Source organism: Homo sapiens, chromosome 17 (assembly GCF_000001405.40).
Source record: "Homo sapiens chromosome 17, GRCh38.p14 Primary Assembly".
Classification (NCBI taxonomy): domain Eukaryota; kingdom Metazoa; phylum Chordata; class Mammalia; order Primates; family Hominidae; genus Homo; species Homo sapiens.
Window position 1 is genome coordinate 76,332,501 of NC_000017.11, and position 16,503 is coordinate 76,349,003.

The window sequence follows — 16,503 nt, forward strand, 5'->3', positions numbered from 1 at the left end:
TTTATCAACTTAACATGGGCTGCCCAGATGGGTGTTGTGGGAATTTTACCATCACACTAGCTTACAATGGCACCTCATGAAGGCAGGGGAAGCTTTCTGACTTTTTGTAGCTGAGTAAGCCCTAGCTTTCATCTGAGGTTACTCCTATTCACAGCACAGTTAACCCACCCTCACATTTGCCTGGGTCTCCTGTGTCATACCCCGTTACTGCAGTGACATCTGAAGCAACTGCTGGTGACCAGAGTTACCCAACACCTGCTGGCAGCCTCCCAGGGATTTGGGCTTAGGCCAGCTTGAATGCCAAGGGAAACCCAACTGCCCTTCCATTTAGCTGCCATTAACAGAAAGATTTGGTCTCTTTCCATTGAGTGTGGGGAGGTCTTGGAATATAATTTTTTTTTTTTTTTTTTGAGACGGAGTCTCGCTGTCGCCCAGGTTGGAGTGCAGTGGCGCGATCTCAGCTCACTGCAGGCTCCGCCCCCCGAGGTTCACGCCATTCTCCTGCCTCAGCCTCCCGAGTAGCTGGGACTACAGGCGCCCGCCACCTCGCCCGGCTAATTTTTTGTATTTTTAGTAGAGACGGGGTTTCACCATGTTAGCCAGGATGGTCTTCATCTCCTGACCTTTTGAGATGAAGTCTCACTCTGTCGCCCAGGCTGGACTGCAGTGGTGTGATCTCAGTTCACTGCAACCTCCGCCTCCCAGGTTCAGGCAATTCTCCTGGCTCATCCTCCCGAGTAACTGGGATTATAGGCGTGCACCACCACACGTGGCTAATTTTGTATTTTTAGTAGAAACGGGGTTTCTCCATGTTGGTCAGGCTGGTCTCGAACTCCCGACCTTAGGTGATCCGCCCACCTCGGCCTCCCAAAGTGCTGGGATTACAGGCATGACCCACTATACCCAGCTGGAACTTAATTTTCGAAAACCTCCCTGGAGGCTGGACGCAGCCCAGCCAATATGGTGAAACCTTGTCTCTACTAAAAATACAAAAATTAGCCAGGTGTGGTGGCACGTGCCTGTAGTCCCAGCTACTGGGGAGGCTGAGGCAGGAGAATCTCTTGAACCTGGGAGGCAGAGGTTGCAGTGAGCCGAGATCATGCCACTGCACTCCAGCCTGGGCAACAGAGTGAGGCTCTGTCTCAAAAAACAAAACAAAACAAAACAAACAAAAAAAAACCTCCCTGGACCTTTCTTTCCCTGACATATAAATTCCTGACAAAGATTACCCAGAGAGACAAAAAATGAAATATGAATCTGGAAGATATTAGAAGGAAAGGCAATTTCCAATGATTATAAATTTGGATTGCTAGCTTTTGCCAAGGATAATCAAACCTAATGTAGACTCTGCATTCATTCATTCATTCATTCATTCTTTCTTTCACTTACTCACTCACTCACTTATTAAGAAATGGTCTCACCCTGTCACCCAGGCTAGAGTGCAGTGGTACAATCTTAGCTCACTGCAGCCTCGAACTCCCGGGCTCAAGTGATGCTCCCGCCTCAGCCTATCAAAGCACTGGGATTACAGGCATGCGCCACCATTCCCAGACAGGCTCTTCCTTTAAAAAGGGGTGAGAGCCTTGAAATCCTTCCAGGACCTCTCTCAGTATTCACTTCTCACATTAGCTTCCTCCTGCTCTTCCTGGACTATCCACGCATCCTCAAACATCCCCGTCTTGGGGTGGGGGTGGGGGTCAGGACTGTATCTCCCTTCCCTTCCCCACGTCATCAGTTCCTACCCATGGCAGCAGGTTCTTCAGGTACCAGTTCTTGAACAATTATCAGCTCTACACTGACACGTAGGTGATGCTGCCCTCATTACAGCAAAGCAGAAAGCCTGCCATACACACAGCAGAGTTAGCGTTTGCTGAATAGGTGGCTGAATGAAATACTCAGCAAGAGATGCTTTCTAGCTTGAAGGGTAATCGAGCCATTTCCTTCCAGTCTCTTCCAATTTATGTTTACACTTCTCTCTAAGGCAGAGTGCATTTGGGAGTGAGCGATTTCAAAGACATCCTTTTATTCTGACAATGTTTTCCACTTCCAGGTTCAATTCCTGGAACTTCCAATTTCACCCTTGTAATTTGGATTTTTCTTAACTATTGCAAGCATTCTATGATTAAAAAAAACAAAAACAAAAACAAAAAATGTCTCCCTGAGGAGACTGATGCAGGGCTCAACTTCAAGACAACTAAGACATTCCTTTTAGACTGCTAATCCATTCCATTGTTTTCCAGTTACCTTTTATTTTTTCTCTCAATAAATTGGAGCATTTTTCTCCTTCAGACTTCCAAATTAATAATGCCAAGTCTGGCATCAAAAGGTCAGATAATCTTTGGTAGAATCAAAGCAATTATCAAACACTTTCAAGAAAGTTGGGAATTCATAATAGTCAATTTTAGTTCATCATCCATGCAACACATATTTAGGGGGCAACTTGAGGCAAGCACTGTGGTAGGTAAACAAGGCAAACCACCTCTAGAGAAAGCCAAAGGCCATCTGGGACCACTCTCGAGGTACTCATTCTTCCCAAGAAGGAGCACATCTGACTCATGGAAGAATGTGTGGTCCCCTTCCCAGAGACTCTTTTGTTTAAAAGATTTTTTTTCTTTTCTTTTCTGTTTTGTAAGAGGCAGGGTCTCACTATGTTGCCATGGCTGGTCTTGAACTCCTGGGTTCATGCAATCTTCCCATCTCAGCCTCCCAAAGTGCTGGGATTACAGGCATGAGCCACCACACCCAGGCTGGCTGTGGCTTCATAAACCAGAACCCAATATCCACAATATGTTTGGAGTCAGTTAATTTAGTAGCTTCTGTAAGCGTTATCTGTTCAAGTAGTGAGGTTTTTTTTGTTTTTTGTTTTGTTTTGGAGATGGAAATTCGTTTTTGTCACCCAGGCTGGAGTGTAATGGTGCGATCTCAGCTCACTGCAACCTCTGCCTCCTGGGTTCAAGCAATTCTCCTGCCTCAGCCTCTCAAGTAGCGGGGATTACAGGCACCCACCACCATGCCCAGCTAATTTTTGTATTTTTAGTAGAGATGGGGTTTCACCATGTTGGCCAGGCTGGTCTTAACTCCTGACCTCAGGTGATCCAACCGCCTCGGCCTCCCAAAGTGTGTTGGGATTACAGGTGTGAGCCACCACACCCAGGCTCAAGTAGTGGGTTTTTAGCTGGCTTTGTCATAGACAATACACAAGTGGACCAAGTGCAGTAGTTTATGCTTGTAATCCCAGCACTTTGAGAGGCCAAGGCAGGAGTATTGCTTGAAGCCAGGAGTTTGATACCAGCCTGGGCAACATAGCAAGACCTGGTCTCTAAAAATAAAATAAAATTTAAAAATCAGCCAGGCACGGTGGTGCTCACCTGTAGTCCTAGCTATTCGGGAGGCTGAGGTGGGAGGATCCCTCAAACCCATATAATGAGCTGTGACTGCACCACTGCACTCCAACCTGGGCAACAGAGTGAGACCCCATCTCTCAAAAAACACACAAAAAAATAAAAACAAAATCAAGTAAAATACACAAGTGTATGACACCATGAGTTTTGGAGAACACAGCACAAGGGAGGCCCAGATAATAAAACATTAATGAACAAGATAAACAATTTTTGAGAAGTCTTGATTTCAGGGTAACATTCCTTTCATTAATAAGCAATTTCTGGGCCGGACGCGGTGGCTCACGCCAGTAATCCGAGAGGCCAAGACAGGTGGATCACCTGAGGTCAGGAGTTAGAGACCAGCCTAACCAACATGGTGAAAGCCCGTCTCTACTAAAAATTCAAAACTTAGCCGGGCATGGTTGCAGGTGCCTGTAATCCCAGCTACTTGGGAGGCTGAGGCAGAAGAATTGCTTGAACCTGGGAGGCAGAGGTTGTAGTGAGCCGACATCATACCACTGCACTCCAGCTTGGGCTACAGAGCGAGAATCTTTCTCAAAAAAAAAAAAAGGCCAGGCACGGTGGCTCACACCTGTAATCCCAGCACTTTGGGAGGCCGAGGCAGGTGGATTACCTGGGTCGGGAGTTCGAGACCAGCCTGACCAACATGGAGAAACCCCCGTCTCAACTAAAAATACAAAATTAGCCAGGCATGGTGGTGCATGCCTGTAATCCCAGTTACTCAGGAGGCTGAGGCAGGAGAATAGCTTGAACCTGGGAGGTGGAGGTTGTGGTGAGCCGAGATCATGCCATTGCACTCCAGCCTGGGCAACAAGAGTGAAACTCCATCTCAAAAAAAAAAAAAAAAAAAAAAAAAGAGCAATTTCCCATGAGGTTTTTATTTTCCATTTTTCCAAGGGATTCAACATCCTCCAGCCCAACGCTAAAGAAAGCTCCATACCTCACCCCTTATTGGTCAGAAAGGTGACAAAAGGGGCTTTGTCACATTGGCTTTACCCATTCACTGAGAGATACCGGACAAATTGGACACCAGGCAGTTACTTTGTGAACTAGCAGGGCGAAGGGAAATCGGCTGGCAGTCTCTGCTTTATCTGTTCCCTAAGAATGTTGCAAGTACACCCTGGCTAGCTCTTGTAGTCTTTATCTCTAAGTAGGACATTCTTAATTGTTTTACCAACTACTTTTCTTTCTTTTTTTTAAATAGAGAAAGGTCTCACCATGTTGCCCAGCTGGTCTTGTACTCCTGGGCTCAGGCAATCCTCCCGCCTTGGCCTCCCAAAGTGCTGGGAGTACAGCTTGAGCCATCATGCCCAGACAACCAACTACTTTTCTTTCCCCTAAGAAAACCACATCCTATATTAAGTCCAGCCCTTACTGCTCTAGCATTTTGGACAGGCAAAAACTAACCTGAGGTGTGCTCTCTTCAGCAGCACATATACTAAAATTGGAATGATACAGAGAAGATTAGCATGGCCCCTGTGCAAGGATGACACGCAAATTCGTGAAGTGTTCCATATTGGAAAACAACAACAACAACAACAACAACAAACTAACCTGAGATGAGGAAACAGGCATGGTATACGCATTCATTAAACTAGCCAGGCTCGCAAAAAGAGAAACCACACCACAGCTGGAAGTAATGGGGGAGAATTTACCCTGCTCCCAACTGTAACAATTAATCATCTGCAGCAGCTGGGAATTTTTTGTTGTTGTTTTGAGACTGAGTCACTCTGTCACCCAGGCTGGAAGGCGAGAGTGCAGTAGCACCATCTTGGCTCACTGCAACCTCTGCCTTCCGGGTTCAATCGATTCTCCCACCTCAGCCTTCCGAATATCTGGGATTACAGGCACCTGCCACCATGCCTGGTTAATTTTTTGTATTTTTAGTAGAGACGGGGTTTCACCATGTTGGCTAGTCTGGTCTCAAACTCCTGACCAACTGATCCACCTGCCTCGGCCTCCCAAAGTGCTGGGATTACAGGTGTGAGCCACCGTGCCCAGCTGTAAATGTTATTTTAATGAGTCTGCTTACTTTACATCAACACACTAGAACTTGTACATAAACATAAAAATTAACCTTTAAAATATACTTCATAAGCTTCATATTTTACTTAGTTCCATTGCTTGGTATATCTGGAAAATCTCTGAGTATCGCACAGTTCAATTACCCAAAATAATCATTTTGTTCTGAATGGCTTTTTGCCATTTCCAAAAATTAAACCTATCCTCAACGACCAAAAGGTTGCTATTATTAGAACAGTCAAAAGAAATATGCTGCAAGTTTGGAAGCAGTAGTTCCAAAGCTATTCCAAGCAAAAACAGCACCAAAAAAAGGTATCTATGTGATTTTAGAACAACAGCTCTGAAGGCAACTAAGCTTATTTTAATGTCTAAGCTTTGGTCTGTTTGCCTAAAATTAGCCTTATTACTTTAGGCAATGCCCCCTTCCTCCCAACAACAGAAAAACCTGTAAAAGATATTCCTTCATCTATGTAACCGCAGATAATATTAAAAAACCAGGTCGGGCACAGTGGCTCATGCCTGTAATCCTAACATTCTGGGAGGCTGAGGCAGGTGAATCACCTAAGGTCAGGAGTTCGAGACCAGCCTAGGCAACATGGAGAAACCCCATCTCTACTAAAAATACAAAAATTAGCTGGGTGTGGTGGTGTGCACCTGTAATCCCAGCTACTCAGGAAGCTGAGACAGGAGAATTGCTTGAACCCAGGAGGCAGAAGTTGCAGTAAGCCGAGATTGTGCCACTGCACTCCAACCTGGGCAACACAGCAAGACTCCGTCTCAAAAAATAAATAAAATAAAATATAAAATATAAAATAAAATAAAAAATTAGGCCAGGCATGGTGGCTCATGCCTGTAATCCCAGGACTTTGGGAGGCCGAGGTGGATGGATCACCTGAGGTCAGGGGTTCAAAACCAGCCTGGCCAACATGGTAAAACCCCATCTCTACTAAAAATACAAAATTAGCCAGGCATGGTGGTACATGCCAGTAATCCCAGCTACTCGGGAGGCTCAGGCAGGAGAATCACTTGAACCTGGAAAGTGGAGGTTGCAGTGAGCCAAGGTCACACCACTGCACTCCAGCCTGGGCAACAAGAAAGAAACTCGTCTCAAAAAAAAAATTAAATTAAATTAAATTATCTGTGTTCTTTAGTTGGTACTAAAGTATCCAGTACTCAAGCACTACAAAAACTAGTTTATTGACTGGGCACGGTGGCTCACGTCTATAATCTCAGCACTTTGGGAGGCCAAGGCGGGTGGATCACCTGAGGTCAGGAGTTTGAGACCATTCTGGTCAACACTGTGAAACCCCGTCTCTACTAAAAATACAAAAATCAGCTGGCTGTGGTGGCACACGCCTATAATCCCAGCTACTCAGGAGGCTGAGGCAGGAGAATTGCTTGAACCTGGGAGGCAGAGGTTGCAGTGAGCCGAGATCACGCCACTGCACTCCAGCCTGGGCAACACAGCAAGCCTCCGTCTCAAAAAAACAACAAAAAGAACCAGTTTATTGTGACAAACCTAATAACCTTCTTTATGGGCTGCACACCCACACAAAACAACACATCCAACCTGTCTTTTTTCCAAATTTTTCCTTTCTTCTTCCATCCCTATCAGCTTAAGAGACAGAGAAAATGCCAGGTGATGATATTTTTGCTTTGATGCTCTTAAACTGAACCACTGGGAAGAGACTTGCGGCTTTTATCTCAACACCAAATACACATAAAGAAACTTCACCATCTTCAGGAGAGGGTTCTGGTTTTCAGAAGTACCCATTTATACCTATGTGCCTTTTTCAACAGGGAAGGTGCCTTTCCATGTTGACTTATGTAAAATTGTCATTGTTATTGTACAAGACTCTGCTACAACTCTATGAAGTGCTTCCTACTTCTTCCTTTGGCCAAAATTTCTTTTTTCTTTTAAATAAAAGCTGGGCACAGTGCCTCATGCATGTAATCCAAGCACCTCGGGAGGCCGGGGCAAGCAGATCAGCTGAGCTCAGGAGTTCAAGACCAGCCTGGGCAACATGGCAAAACCCTGTCTCTACTAAAAATACAAAATTAGCCATGCATGGTGGCATGTGCCTGTAGCCCCAGCTACTTGGGAGGGTAAGACGGTGGGTGCTGAGACAGGAGAATCACTTGAGCCTGGGAGGTGGAGGCTGCAGTGAGCCGAGATCGTGCCACTGCACTCCAGCCTGTGTGACAGAGCAAGGCCTTGTCTCAAAAAAAAAAAAAAAAAAAGAATAGAGACAGGGTCTTAGTATATTGCCCAGGCTGGTCTTGAACTCCTGGCCTCAAGTGATCCTCTCACCTTGGTCTCCCAAAGTACTAGGATTAAAGGCATGAGCCACCACACCTGACCATGGTCCAATTTCCTAATACTCAAGATACAAGTGAGAAAAACGGTAAGTGTTTCCCAATTGGCTATTAACTAAGTCATTTCTTCATGCTTCTTTTGTCCCTTCCCTGGAAGACACTTGCACACTGATGATCCTTTGTTTGTCAAGTTCAGTCTTTACTACCCCCAGCATCACTCTAGATTGCACGTGTTAAATACTTATATTGAGCACTCTTGGTTACCATGTGATATCAAAGCCAAGAATTTTATAAAATTCAACTTCGTATCACAAAGGACACTAACAATATGCTGTTTCTATGCTCGACTAGTTTGAAATAACCATGAACGGCCTCGCACGGTGGCTCGCGCCTGTAATGCCAGCACTTTGGGAGGCCGAGGCGGGCAGATCACTTGAGGTTGGGAGTTCGAGACCAGCCTGACCAACATGGAGAAACCCCGTCACTACTAAAAATACAAAATTAGCCGGGCGTAGTGGCACATGCCTGTAGTCCCAGCTACTCGGGAGGCTGAGGCAGGAGAATTGCTTGAACCTGGGAGGCGGGGGTTGTGGTGGGGTTTGCAGTGAACCGAGATCGCGCCATTGCACTCCAGCCTGGGCAACAAGAACGAAACTCCATCTCAAAAAAAAAAAAAAGCGGGGGGTAGGGGGGGACTGTCTTTCACAAAACTGGTCCCTGGTGCCAAAAAGGTTGGAGACTGCTGGACTATCTAACAAAATGGGGTCTCTGCCGTGAGAAGGTTATAACGTCTTAGCTCCTCCCCTGACTCATAGATGATCCCTAAATACATGTAACAAAACAAAGATGCCAAGAGCACAGCTGCTCATGTGCCAGAGGAGAACTGCTCTGATCATGCACCAACTCAGTTCAGTCTTTTCCTGGAGAAGTCCAACTCAAATTCCAGATTACAATGCAGACCAACGAATTAGTGTTAACAATTTGACTTTTTTTTGTTTTTTTTTTTTTTTTTTTTTGAGATAAGATCTGGCTCTGTTGCCCAGGTTAGAGTAGAGTGGTGTAATCACAGCTCACTGTAGCCTCGACCACCCAGGCTCAAGCAATCCTCCCAACTCAACCACCCGAGTAGCTCAGACTACAGGTGCACACCACCACGCCTGGCTAATTTTCAAATTTTATTTGTAGAGATGGAGTCTCACTATGTTGCCCAGGCTGTTCCCAAGCCATCTTGGACTCAAGTGATCCTCCTGCCTTGGTGTCTCAAAGTCCTGGGATTACAGGTGTGAGTCACTGTACCTGGCCAACAAGATTTCTTAAAGATAACTCTTTACATGACAAATTCTTTCGTTATCACAAATTCAATTAGGGTAGTAAAGAGACTTCACCAATCAATCATGCTTTTAGAATTAGACCCCAATGGCTGGGCACCGTGGCTCACGCCTATAATCCCAGCACTTTGGGAGGCCGAGGCAGGCGGATCACGAGGTTAGGAGATCGAGACCATCCTGGCTAACATGGTGAAACCCCGTCTCTACTAAAAATACAAAAAATTAGCCGGGCGTGGTGGTGGGCGCCTGTAGTCCCAGCTACTCGGGAGGCTGAGGCAGGAGAATGGCGTGAACTCGGGAGGCGGAGCTTGCAGTGAGCCAAGATTGCGCCACTGCACCCCAGCCTGGGCGACAGAGTGAGACTCCGTCTAAAAATAAAAGATGGAGAGTCAAACAAAACCACCAGGCAAAAAAGACTCCAGTCACCAGGAGGCAAACAATACAAAACCAAAACTGTTGGAGAAAATGTGAATTAGTATATCCTCAATGAGGGCAACGCAGCCCCTTCCCTCAATACCACAGGGCATGGACCCTCACAACCAGAAATTTCTTAGGATCTTCCTACAGATACACCTGAAACACCGACAATATGATGTATATACGATGAGGCTCACAGCAGCCTCTATTGTATCAGCATAAGACTAGAAACAAACTGACACACAAGAGACTGAATAAACCGATGCATCCACACAAGATGTCATGAAGCAGCAGGAAGACAAGACAACAGGAACACAGCTTCCTTCCGAGGTACCTGAATCTCATCATAGTGAAAGAGCCATCACGGTGAAACCCAAATTGAGGGACATTCGACAAAGTAATCGGCAAAATGTCAGTCTTCAAATGTGTCAAAGTTTTCAAAGTCAAGGCCGGGTGTGGTGGTTCATGTCTGTAATCCCAGCACTTTGGGAGGCTGAGGCGGGTGGATCACTTCTTAGTCCAGGAGTTCAAGACCAGCCTGGGCAACATGGCAAAACCTCATCTCTACTAAAAATACAAAAAATTAGCCCAGGATGGTGGCACACACCTATGGTCCCAGCTACTAAGGAGGCTGAGGTGGGAGGATCGCTTTGAGTTCAGGAGCTTAAGGCTGCAGTGAGCCATGATCGTGTCACTGCATTCCTGCATGAGTGACACAGCAAGACCCTGTCTCAAATTAAAAAAAAAAAAAAAGAAAGTCAAATAAAGGCCATGAGGAACTGCTCCAAACTAAAGAAGACTGAATAGGGCCGGGCGCAGTGGCTCACGCCTATAATCCCAGCCAGCACTTTAGGAGGCTGAGGCAGGCGGATCACTTGAGGCCAGGAGTTCAAGACCAGCCTGGCCAACATGGTAAAACCCCATCACTACTAAAAATACAAAAAAATTACCCGGGCATGGTGGCAGGCACCTGTAATCCCAGATACTCGGGAGGCTGAGGTAGAATCACTTGAACCCGGGAGGTGGAGGCTGCAGTGAGCCAAGATCACACCACTGCACTCCAGCCTGGGCAACAGAGTGAGACTCCGTCTCAAAAAACCAAAACAAACAAAAACGAAACATATAAAGCATCCAGCACACTGGTAGCACTCAGTGCCATTCTTATTACTAATATGGTCTGGGGAATGTACACTGATCAGGACATGAAGGTCTGGATTTTTCAGAGACACAGATGGTGTAATGGCCCACTCCCTGTCAGGCGATGAGAAAGGAGATAGTCCCATAGAAGCATGAACGTTCTCACTCAAGCAGGCCAGGATTCCCCAGGTGTCAGCCCCCTGCCCTGAGGGAAGCAAGGGCGACGATCTCTGAAACAGAGATAGGCTAGAAACAGGCCACGGTGCAAGATAAAATGCAGTGCAAAAACCTCTCTTGATGGGTATGAACCAGGAGCAGTTTATGCACCACACGTAACAACTAGAAGCTTTTCAGCAGAGCTGAGCTGACGGACACTGGCCTGGGGTCAGTGCAAACCATGGGAAAACCCTTTGTCCTTGAGGAGTTTAAAGCTTGGGGAGTGGTGGCTCACGCCTGAAATCCCAAAACTTTGGGAGGCTGAGGTGCATGGATCACTTGAGGTCAGGAGTTCAAGACCAGCCTGGCCAACATAGTGAAACCCTGTCTCTACTAAAAATACAAAAATTAACTGGGCATGGTGGTGGGCACCTGTAATCCCACCTACTAGGGAGGCTGAGGCAGGAGAATCACTTGAACCCAGGAGGTAGAGGCTGCAGTGAGCCAAGACTGTGCCACTGCACTCCAGCCGGGGTGACAGAGTGAGACTGTCCCCAAAAAAAGCCTGGAGAGAAGTAAACAGGTAACAGTACAGTGTGACAAATGGTAGGAATTCCAGAAGACAGTAATTGTATTTGGGGAAGCATTTAGTTTAACATGCAAACGAATGTATAACTTTTTTTTTTCTTTGGTGAGACAGTCTCACTCTGTCGCCCAGGCTAGAGTGCAGTGGCGCGATCTCAGCTCACCTCTGCCTCCTGGGTTCAAGCACTTCTCCTGCCTTAGCCTCTCAAACAGCTGGACTACAGGCGCATGCCACCATGCCCAGCTAACTTTTGTTTTTTATTCATTTATTTTGTTTTTTTTTGAGATGGAGTCTTGCTCTGTAGCCCAGGCTGGAGTGCAGTGGCGCGATCTCGGCTCACTGCAAGCTCTGCCTCCTGGGTTCACGCCTTTCTCCTATCTCAGCCTCCTAAGTAGCTGGGACTATAGGTGCCCGCCACCACGCCCGGCTAATTTTTTTGTATTTTTTAGTGGAGACGGGGTTTCACCATGTTAGCCAGGATGGTCTCGATCTCCTGACCTCGTGATCCGCCCGCCTCGGCCTCCCAAAGTGCTGGGATTACAGGCGTGAGCCATCGTGCCCAGCCAGCAATTTCTGTATTTTTAACAGAGACAGGGTTTCAACATATTGGTCAGGCTGGTCTCGAACTCCTGACCTCGTGATCCGCCCACCTCGGCCTCCCAAAGTGTTGGCATAACAGGCGTGAGCCACACGCCCGGCCTGAATATATAACTTTTAAAAACACTAAGTTGTTGTTCATATGAAAAGATAATCAATTATATTGTTAAGGTTTTTACAGAAAAGAGATAAAGTAGTCAGTCCTCTTACCTGGGTATTGTCTGTATAATGAAAATATCTTGGCCACGAACAGATTCTTTTATTTCAACTCTTGTTTCTGAAAAATAAAAATGTTCTGAAGTTTTAAGAAAAGCTCCTATGTTAAAAAGGAGAAAAAAGAAAAACAAAAGTACTTCATGCCGGGCGCGGTGGCACATGCCTGTAATCCTAGCACTTTAGGAGGGCTGAGGAAAGCAGATCACTTGAGCACCAGAGTTCAAGAACAGCCTAGGCAACATGACAAAATCCTGTCTCTACAAAAAATACAAGAATTAGCTGGGCGCGGTGGCTCACGCCTGTAATCCCAGCACTTTGGGAGGCCGAGGTGGGCAGATCACGAGGTCAGGAGATCGAGACCATCCTGGCTAACACAGTGAAACCCCGTCTCTACTAAAAACACAAAAAATTAGCCGGGCGTGGTGGCGGGTGCCTGTAGTCCCAGCTACTCGGGAGGCTGAGGCAGGAGAATGGCGTGAACCTGGGAGGCAGAGCTTGCAGTGAGCCGAGATCGCGCCACTGCACTCCAGCCTGGGTGACAGAGCAAGATTCCGTCTCATTAAAAAAAAAAAAAAAAAAGAGTTCTTCGAGACCAGCCCGGCCAATATGGTGAAACCCTGTCTCTACTAAAAATACAAAAATTAGCCAGGCATGGTGGCGCACAACTATAATCCCAGCTACTCAGGAGGCTGAGGCAGAAGAATCACTTGAACCTGGGAGGCAGAGCTTGCAGTGAGCCGTGATCGCGCCACTGCACTCCAGTCTGGGTGACACAGCGAGATTCTATCTCAAAAAAATAATTAGCTGGACATGGTGACAAGTGCCTGTAGTCCCAGTGGGAGGATCACCTGAGCCAGGGAAGGTCATGGCTGCAGTGTGAGCTGAAACTGTGCCACTGCACTTCAGCCTGGACAACAGAGACCTTGTCTGGAGAAAAAAAAAAAAAAAAAGCAGAAAAGCAAAGCACTCATGATGCAACAGCTAGAAACATTTGGAGGGAGTAAAGATTAATCTAAACCAACATTTTATCTGGGGCAAAAGAATAAGTCTTGGAGCAGTATGAAGAAGAGGAAGCGAGAATGACCCCCGACTGAGCGCAGTCCGTGCACCGCCACTGCATCCCGCTCCCAGTGCCTACGTCCGGCTGCTTTCGTTGCCACCATGCCCAAGAGAAAGGCTGAAGGGGATGCTAAGGGAGATGAGGCCAAGGTGAAAGACGAACCACAGAGAAGATCTGTGAGGCTGTCTGCTAAACCTGCTCCTCCCTCCAAAGCCAGAGCCCAGGCCTAAAAAGGCCACTGCAAAGAAGGGAGAGAAGGTACCCAAGGGAAAAAGGAAAAAGCTGACACTGGCGAGGAGGGGAATGACTCTATGGGAAGTGGAGATGCCTGAACACACCAGGCACCTGCTGGAGATGCTGAGGGAAGCGTGTGCATTTTGGATAACTGTGTACTTCTGGTGACTGTACAGTTTGAAATACTATTTTTTATCAAGTTTTATAAAAACGCAGAATTTTTGTTTTCTAAGCTATGTTGTTAGCACACAGAACGCTTCATTGTTGTTCTGGGGAAAGGAGCATATGTCATGAATAGAATGTCTCCGAAGCTGGATTGATGTGGGGAAAGCACCTTTCCCTTCTAGTTTTGAGAGACTTCCTCTCGGCTCCCAGGAAGAGGGGCTCCCTGACTTTGACACACATGGCCACCTCAGCACACAAAAGCCTTGTGCTCTGAAAAGACAAATTTGTTTCTATGTCCTCTTCTCCCTTTCCACCTTTCAGCATGGACTTAAATCCCTTAAAGCCAGACATCTGTTGGCACCTGACCCCCCCATAATTGATTACCAGTGTGGCAGGCAATCTGGACCTTCCAGTGATGCCACTGAGATGGCGCCCCTCAAAAGAGCAGTAGTTCCGTTTCTAGACTGTGGATCTTCAGATAAACTCTGCCATATTCATTTCACTTCCGGAAAGTCAGGGTCAGCTTGTGAAAAGTTGTTAAACAACATGCTAAATGTTCACTGGGTTTTACAGTGGCTTTCTGATTTTTGGTTGTGCACTGAAAAAGGGAGTTTGGCCGGGCGCGGTGGCTCCGCCTGTAATCCCAGCACTTTGGGAGGCTGAGGCAGGAGAATTGCTCGAACCTGGGAGGCAGAGGCTGCAGTAAGCTGAGATTGCACCACTGCACTCCAGCCCGGGCGACATCCTTATTATTTTTTCAACAAATGCTGAAGCCTCCTCCATGTCAGGAACTGTACTGGGAACCCCAAAATGCAGGACTTGGAAGAAGGGACAAAGACTGACCCAGGAGAGATGATACAACAACAAGGCCAGCAAACCCTCCGGGCCCAATATGCCAGAGACGCTAGCCATGACGAAGGAGAAAGAACAATGGGGCTGGAAAAAAGGGCCTCACTGCAATCCAGAACGAGCAGCGCAGAAGGGGGTTTGGGAACATGGGAAGATGTGGGATCCGAGTGTGCCAAGCAGAGGGGCAGGCAGTTAGTCCACTTAGAAAGCAGACAGAGTGGGCCGGGCGCGGTGGCTCATGCCTGTAATCCCAACACTTTGGGAGGCCAAGACGGGTGGATCACCTGAGGTCAGGAGTTCAAGACCAGCCTGACCAACATGGCAAAACCCCCGTCTCTGCTAAAAATACAAAATTAGCCGGGTTTGGTGGCGTATGCCTGTAATCCCAGCTACTTGGGAGGCTGAGGCAAGAGGATTGCTTGAACCTGGGAGGTGGAGGTTGCAGTGAGCCAAGATCATGCCACTGCACTCCAGCCTGGGTGACAGAGCAAGACTCCGTCAAAAAAAAAAAAAAAAAAAAAAAAAAAAGAAAGCAGACAGAGTGAGGGGAAAGAGAGAGACAGGAGGTCAGGGAGCCAAGGGGCCAGGACTTGCAGGACTCTGGATTTCATTTCTTACTCGCTGAAGAGTCTGGAATTTATTCTAGCAGTGACAGGAAAGCCACTGGAAGATTTAAGGTTGGGAAGGGTTTCATCTACTTGTTTTAAAAAGACTGCTGGCTACTGTGTGAAGAAAACCGTGGCAGGGCAGGAGTGGCCACGGGGAGGCCATGGCGTCTGTTTTGGAAGGTGTCTAGCAAGCAGCAAACGGCAGGCTGGACTTAAGTGGGAGCAGCAGAGGTTGTGAGAAAGGGTCAGATATAAGATGTATTCCAAAGTCAGAGCACACAAGATGTGGTAATGGGTGGATCAAAGATGAGGCAGGTAAAGGGGTAGAATCTGGATTCCCAAAGGGCCCCATGTGATTGCTAAAAAGACTGGACCCCAGCCTACAGGGTAGGAGTAAGGAAGCAGTAGTAAGAAAAAATATTTGCATTTTAGAAATAACGTGGTGGAAGCCGAGTGCGGTGGCTCACGCCTGTAATCCCAGCACTTTGGGAAGCTGCGGTGGGAAGACTGCTTGAGCTCAGAAGTTCAAGACCAGCCTGGCCAACATAGTGAGACCCCATCTTAATAAAAATAAATAAATAAATAAATAAATAAATAAAGGCTGGGCACAGTGGTCATGCCTGTAATCCTAGCACTTTGGGAGGCCGAGGCAATAGGGTCCCCTGAGGTCAGGAGTTTGAGACCAGCCTGGCCAACAGGGTGAAACCCCATCTCTACTAAAAATACAAAAATTAGCCGGGTGTGGTGGCGGGCGTCTGTAATCCCAGCTACTCAGCAGGCTGAGGCAGGAGAATTGCTTGAACCTGGGAGGCAGAGGTTGCAGTGAGCCAAGATCATGCCACTGCACTCCAGCCTGGGCGACAGAGTGAGGCTCTGTCTCAAAAAAACTAAATAAATAAAAAATAATTTTAAAAAAAAGAAATAATTTTAACTTACCTCCATTGGTCTCTTGATATACAACAGACTTCCCCAATTCAGCACCAAGGCGCCTATAGATCAAAAAGAACAAAAAAGGGAAATTAAGATTACTCTTTTTAAAAAAATTCCAGTTCATATGCATATGTCTAATAAAAAGACTCAAATAATTAAGCTGCCATTCTTTCCAAAAAATAATTCAGAAAATCTAATTCATTAAACTAAAATTCTGCTGTCACTCCATAAGCAGCTCACCACGTTGTAACATACTGCTTTACCAGACAGAGCTCACAACCCATGGTTAATGTCTGGTGCGCGTTGTTCTTTGAATAGTAATTTTCTTGGAAAATCACTTCCAAATACTTGGTTACAAGCAATGATTTCAATAACACACACCAGAGATAAATGCCTCAATTATCAAAAGCATAGAGAAGGAAAGAGGCTTCAGCACTCTGACCAAATGTGGTGTGGATCTTGTTTGGATCCTAATTAGAAT

At 46.6% G+C, this 16,503-nt stretch overlaps 1 protein-coding gene and 2 pseudogenes across 3 annotated transcripts in view; 2 read left to right on the forward strand and 1 right to left on the reverse strand.

The window, feature by feature from the left end:
• Window positions 1–16,503, reverse strand: part of PRPSAP1 (phosphoribosyl pyrophosphate synthetase associated protein 1) — a 44,721-nt gene that overhangs the window by 23,023 nt on the left and 5,195 nt on the right. For 2 of the 3 annotated variants that reach the window (NM_001366236.2, NM_002766.3), the window contains exons 2-3: window positions 16,029–16,081; window positions 12,171–12,237 (exon numbers count right to left, since the gene is read on the reverse strand). Coding sequence is in view for 1 of the 3 variants with exons in the window: in NM_002766.3 (NP_002757.2) it covers window positions 12,171–12,237; window positions 16,029–16,081 (120 nt within the window). In the remaining 2 variants the exon portion in view is untranslated. The remainder of the gene's footprint in view (window positions 1–12,170; window positions 12,238–16,028; window positions 16,082–16,503) is intronic. The other variant, NM_001330503.2, reaches the window with a different exon arrangement.
• RNU6-24P (RNA, U6 small nuclear 24, pseudogene) lies at window positions 4,816–4,919 on the forward strand (annotated as a pseudogene).
• On the forward strand, window positions 13,229–13,781 carry HMGN2P43 (high mobility group nucleosomal binding domain 2 pseudogene 43; annotated as a pseudogene).